The following is a 6578-nucleotide window of genomic DNA, read 5'->3' as shown; positions in this document are numbered from 1 at the left end:
TTTTTTAATTTATGGACAGAGTTTGCATCAGACCCATTGTTCTACCTGAAACACCTTCTTCTCTTAGAACAGACGAGTCCTACAAGAGTCTCTATTTTGGAATAGAGTCAACTAATTTTCCGCTAAGGCAAATTTAAATAACAACTTCTGAAGGAAGTGATCCCTTTACACACAAAAGGCTTTTAACAGTATGTCCTTACCTGTGAAGAAATGGCACCATAAAAAAGAAGATAAAGCATAAGAAAAAGAAAACAGAAAAGCAGAAGGGATTAGATTAAAGTTAAAACTGAAGTCTGGAGTTCATCTATGCTTCAGAGCAGGAAGAAAGTTCTACCCTCTGAACATTACCACATCTTTTCTCCCCAGCAACACCAAAGAAATAAAAAGTATTACTTTTTCCATAAAAGATGTATTTCTTTCTAATTATTGTCATTCTAAAATTCTTAAACTACAATGTTTGATCTATGACTTTAGAATACCAATTTTTCATATCTATTTCTTCTAAGCACAAAAAGACAAAGAGACTTCCACTACCTTTCATTGTTCTTTGAATGGGACTAGATACTAAAAAATAGATTTACATTGCTAGTCATAACTTGTGACTCCTGAAGCTTCCACAAAACTCATATATTCTACTTTTTTCTACTGAAGTGACAAGTTGCTCTGCTTTCATCAATTTAAATGGAAACACAGTAAGCAATAATAATGGCCCCATTTTCGTGAGCTGTTTCTCTGTGTGAAGAGTCCATGAGCTGAAAGTTTCTCTTCAGAGATCAGTCCACTGTTCTGAAATGGAGATGAACTATTACATATAATGCTAATGCATATGAATTTATGTTAATTCTTGAAGAATGTGGTAATTTGCTCTCAGAATCTTAAACTTCCTCACCTCTGCTGCAGAGAGACCCTAAAAGCACATCTCTGCAGATTACCTACCGGGACATCAAGGAGGGCACTTAGTAGTAACTAGGCAGCAATTTAAGAACAAACCTCAAGACTGTATGAGGCAATTGTTAGTGATGAAGCAAAACAAAGAAGCTGAGAGGAGATCCAGTACCATCCTTTGATCCAGGTAAGCAGGAAACCTGACCTGGGCCTGCACCTCAGGGAGCACCCTGCCTTAAAGCACCTTCCAAGAAATGTTCTAAGTCCCCATCTGGTGCCTGGCACCAGCCCCTCTGCTATTTGGTCGGGAAGTCTCAGACTAGATCAGGACCTATGTCTCCATTTCTCCTCTACAGAGCACTCACTAAGCCTCTACCTGGGCCAGCCGTGGTAGTTCATGCCTATAATCCCAGCACTTTGGGAGACTAAAGCAGGAGGATCACTTGAGGCCAGGAGTTTGAGACCAGACTGGAAAACATAGCAAGGTCCCATCTCTACAAAAAATTAAAAAATTAGCTGGGTATGGTGGCATGTGCCTATAGTCCTAGCTTCTCAGGGCTGAGTCAGGACGATTGTTTAAGCCCAAGAGTTCGAGATTATAGTGAGCTATGTTTGTGCCACTGCATTCCAGCCTGGGTGACAGAGCAAGACCCTGTCACTTAAAAAAAAAAATTAAATTATTATCTGCCTCATGCATGAGGTAAACCAAATTCCCCAAAGAACCTCTAGGAGGAAAGCACTGCTGCCCAGGAGAATAGTTTTTATATGAGACCGTGAAAGATTGGATAAAATTGGGCCTCTGGAATGGTGCTGACATGCTGTCTTAGGGTGACAGTGACCCTGACTTTGGAGGGACACAGAACAATTCAGGACTCTGCCGATTCCTGGGCTTAAGCCACACACGTGAGCTGGCATAATAGCTCTTTAGACTGCGGTGCCACCTCCAGTGTATGAAGGAACCAGGATGGCACAAGGTATCCTCTACCTAGAGCTGTCATTCTACTTCCTCCACAGGCTCTACACCATGGGTCAGGCTTTGGGGTGGCCTTGCCCATCTGCACAAAGAGCTTTCAAGATCTTTGCTCTCCTTTACCCCGTGACTCTTCAGATCCATTTTCTCTCTTGCCTTACATCATGTGTTGATGTTGTAATGTGCCAGGCTGGTCTTGAGCCATGCTAGACAAGGGATGGACATTTCTTGTGCAAATGGGACCACTCTTCTTATCCTCTGTAGGTCCCTCACTTATTTTCCCCACTGGTAGAAGTGGTGGAAGGCAAACATACAGCCAGCACTAAAAGAGATCACATTGTAGGAATACAGTGGCCACTGCCTAAAGCATTCAGCAGAAGACATACTGGAAAATACAGTATTCTAAGTTTACATGCTGTAAAATTCTATACAGTAAATTTTACATGACCAGAAAACAATGTATCATTCACATTTTTCTGCATATGCTGGATAAGATTTGCATTTGTGGTCATCATCAACAAAGCGTAGTAACAGCCTTTGAGACAGTCATGAGAAACCAGTAGTCATGGGTGACAATATGAATGATGCAGCCTCATGAGTAATGATGCAACCAGCATTAAATAAATGGTATTAGAGAACTGCAGAGGCAGAGGTCTATACTGTTTCAGCACAAACAGAATCTAAAGAGCCGTTGCATTGTGAATAATAACAGCATTGCTACCTGTTTCTCACATGGTGGAAGATATGAAATTAGCCAGGAACCACACATTTGACAATAAAGAACCAGAAGATACAATGCCAATCTACTGGCTGATATAAGGAATCATTACAAGCAATGATTGGACAATAAACGAATGTGTAAGTAGCTCCACTTTACCCATTTTCTGAAGAATAAACTTTGTAACACTTTTTAAATCAAATTGTTTATACAGACAGAGGACCCACAAAAACTATTTACCTGAGGCCCTGCACATTTTTGGGATGACCCTGAGGAAAACTCTTGGGGAAAGGAAGCAGCTAACCTTCCAACATACAGTTTCATCTTTTCTCAATATAGATTTCATATTACATGGTTTTGGAATCTTCATGACTTAATGCAACAAATATTTTACATATGCAACGAAATAATTACCACTCTGTGATACAAAGACCCTCTGACACAGACGGGACTTTTGCACCTTTTTTTTTTTTTTTTTTTTTTTTTGGTAGCTGTTGGTCTGTTGCATTTTTTCCTGCTTGAAGAGGGTTCTCAAGTGTTCAGATGAGGCTTGCTTACTTACTTAGTCAATCAACTGCAGTAAAAGAGTTCTTTCTAGACTGACCTTCAACACCCAGAGTATTTTTGGATGACATCACTGTCATTAATTGGTAAAAACTCAGAGAATGTAAAGTAATTTTCAGGTTAGCCTTAAATATTTTAATTATAGAAGAAAACCTGCTCTAAAAACATATAAATGCATGTTAATAACATATACAGGTTATTGCTGAAATATCTCTTGGATCTTTTCCTTTTTTATGAACATGGATAATTAAGGATTAACTATATTTTAAGGATTCCGTTTTACCAATGGTCTGTTTTTCCCACAGTCGTATCTACAAAAATAATTACTTATTCACAAGTGATTAATCTTCCTTGACGACTTAAAGTATTAGTCTAATCATGCAATTACTAGCCAAACAACTAAGAGAGGCTAATAATGAACTTCTAGTTTCAGTTCTAGTTCAAGGAATCTTGGCTTATTTCTAGAGGGAGGCAAGAAATAATTAGAGAAGAAGACTGAATTTTAAACCAACATATTAAACCAACTTAAAGCGGTGACATAGCCAATTTATAAGCATATGAAAATATCCTTGTGTCCTTCCTCTTTTTTGTTTTTGTTTTTGTTTTTTTGAAACGGAGTCTCGCTCTGTCTCTCTGGCTGGAGTGCGGTGACGCCATCTTGGCTCACTGCAAGCTCCACCTCCCGGGTTCACGCCATTCTCCTGCCTCAGCCTCCCGAGTAGCTGGGACTACAGGCGCCCGCCACCGCGCCCGGCTAATTTTTTTTTTTTTTTGTATTTTTTAGTGGAGACGGGGTTTCACCGTGTTAGCCAGGATGGTCTCGATCTGCTGACCTCGTGATCCGCCCGCCTCAGCCTCCCAAAGTGTCCTTCCTCTTATCCACTGATTTTTTTTCTCCTTGCCAGATTCTAATTGTAGAAACTACTACTAGAGATGCCTAAGCTAATCAAGGTCAAAATTTTAACTCCCACAGGATTTTAAAATTTCAAATATCATTGAATTTCTTTTCAGTAAATCTTACAAATACATGTTAGAGAACAAAACATTCCAATAACATAGTATATTGAAATATAAAATCTGTAGTTAATTTTTGTATTTCCAGTTGCTGCTTGGTAAGCAAGCTTAAAGAAAAGCATACTGTCAGTGCCACCATTCTTGTTTTTAAAAATTTGACATATGTTTCCATTTCGATAAAGACAGTTATAAAATGCATTATGGTCATAGGAAAGAGAATAGAACAATTCAGATTTTCTGATGTATTTTTCTTTTAACTCACCAAGTATTGCTTTCCTCCTATCAAAGAGGGATAGGAAGTACCTAACTTTGAGAGACGCCTCTTCTGTGATCTAACCCTTTAAAGTGGGATGACAATCCTGTGGCAGGCAGGGAAAGGATATTTATTGAAAAAGGACATTAGCAACTAGAATAGTTACCTCTACTTTCTCAGTAATAAATGGCAAATTCCAAGCCTTAAGCCTTTTTGTTTGGAAATTCAACAACAATAACAGAATGAGTTCATCTTTCCTTAAGATCCAGTGGCCTTTTTGAAACAGAATCCCAGGAAAATAATCTTAGGATGTGAAATTCTGTGAATTTTACAAATAAACCGTAAATTACATAAAATTAAAAGCAATTTCCTGGCTTTTCAGCACTGACCTTCTAATGGATGCATCCCAGTCACAGATCAAATGGCAAAAACTTTACATCCTACAAATCCAGCAAAAATCACTTGTAAACATGAAGACATTGGACCCAAATGAACATCAAATGTCTAAATAGAAAACAGCAAGAACCTGCTTGCTTTAGGAATGTTTTAGGATAGAAGATGTTGATTATAAATAAGCAATAACATGGTAGAAACAAAAAGCCAATTTGTTTAGAGCAAAATATAGTATTGAGAATCAGTAACATCCAATTCAGTGCATCAGTCAATATGTTTGGACATTATGTTTGATACAAAGCACAATTGTGAAGTGGGTGAAGGATTCCAACTCTTCCACTGTGCAATCATGTATCCTTGCCCCACCCAACATAAATAATAATGCCTTTCAAATATTTCCGTTCCCTGTATCCTTTGCCATCACCTCTCTGTTCTGCTTTTCTAAGCAGCAGGGTCAACCTGGCATTTCCTGGAGGACTGCACCTGTCAGCTGGAATCACCGTTCTTCCAATTGCTGAATCAGCCCACCCTCATACCACTAGCTGGTAGTGATACAAGGAGACCTTCAAATTCTGTGAATTTTGTGTCCGGATTAGAACAGGCTGTAGGCCAATTTCTTTAAAACCAGAACAGATTTTCAGACATTTATACAATCACATTTCTAATTACAGAGGGCCCAGAAAATACATATCATTTCAGACTTGAATGGACTATTTGATTCCAAGCAAAAATCTTTTATTTTGTCACCCAGATGACTACCATATACTAAGGCCATCATAATTATTCCTATTGTGGCAGAACATTGTTCTAACTTGAAAAGCCAAGCTTTTAAGAGGAGTTCTGTAAATAGAGTTGAATACTAGACAAACTAAAAAAATGAAAAAGAGGCAAGTAGGAATCAGTCATAGGGTTCAAATTTTCAACCTTTGTGACTTTGATCCTTTGCCAACCATGATTTTTCCACGTAAGCTGATGGATAAAGGCTACACAGAGAACACTGCTGAACTGAAAGAACTTTTCTTATTGAAGAAAAGACTTCAACCTGAACTGAAAGAACTTTTCTAATTGAAGAAAAGACTTCAGCAATTCAGAGAGAATAGTCTATCATTTTTCAAGAGAATTCTAGTTAACAATGATATTATGTTATTGAATCCATTAAGAAAGATATATGAGCAAACTCACTCTTTTAGTTCTGGGCACACTGGAATCAGAGCCTCAGACGGAAGTTCTGGTGCATAAGGTTTAGTGAAGCCGTGCTCTTCAGAGAAAGCCAGCAGAGTGGGGTGCAAAGCGGGAGAGGAGAGAGGAAAGAGCTCAGCAAGGATGTGGTCCCGTACAAAGGCCAGTCTTGACCTGATCCAGGGGATCACACCACAAAATTATGGCCCTCACCTTCGATGTAAGGGGGCCATTTGTAGTCCCACATTCATCAGTCATTGGCTGCCCTTAGTTGGGGCGAGGAGCATGACCTCCTGGGAGATGCAGCTGCCATTCGCAATTCTCTAAAAATAGGGGGCAGCTGTGGGTCATTAGAAGTCTACACTCACAGCAATTGGAGAAGGGAGTGATGGGCTGGGTAAGGGATCCAGGCAGGGCACCACAGCATCTACTACACTTGCTAATTGCAGATCACTCAGCAATTAGAAAACCACCTGGGCTCTGTAAAATGTTAGACAGACTGGAAAGGGTCACCTCTGGCATCAACAGGTGAAGTCATTGGGATGAAATGGCTGGCAATCTTACCCGGGTGCGCTTAATTGTATTATACTCCATGCTTTGTG

General features: G+C 39.3%; 1 annotated feature.

Moving 5' to 3' along the window:
• Positions 698 to 1273: an enhancer, noted in NCBI's record as "OCT4-NANOG hESC enhancer chr2:192690474-192691049 (GRCh37/hg19 assembly coordinates)". NCBI's record gives its function as "activates a minimal SCP1, AML or CMV promoter by ChIP-STARR-seq in naive and primed H9 embryonic stem cells {active_cell/tissue: H9 hESC(naive and primed)}" and the evidence as "EXISTENCE:reporter gene assay evidence [ECO:0000049][PMID:30033119]".

Source organism: Homo sapiens, chromosome 2, assembly GCF_000001405.40.
Source record: "Homo sapiens chromosome 2, GRCh38.p14 Primary Assembly".
Taxonomy (NCBI): Eukaryota; Metazoa; Chordata; class Mammalia; order Primates; family Hominidae; genus Homo; species Homo sapiens.
This window is presented reverse-complemented; position numbering and strand designations above follow the sequence as displayed.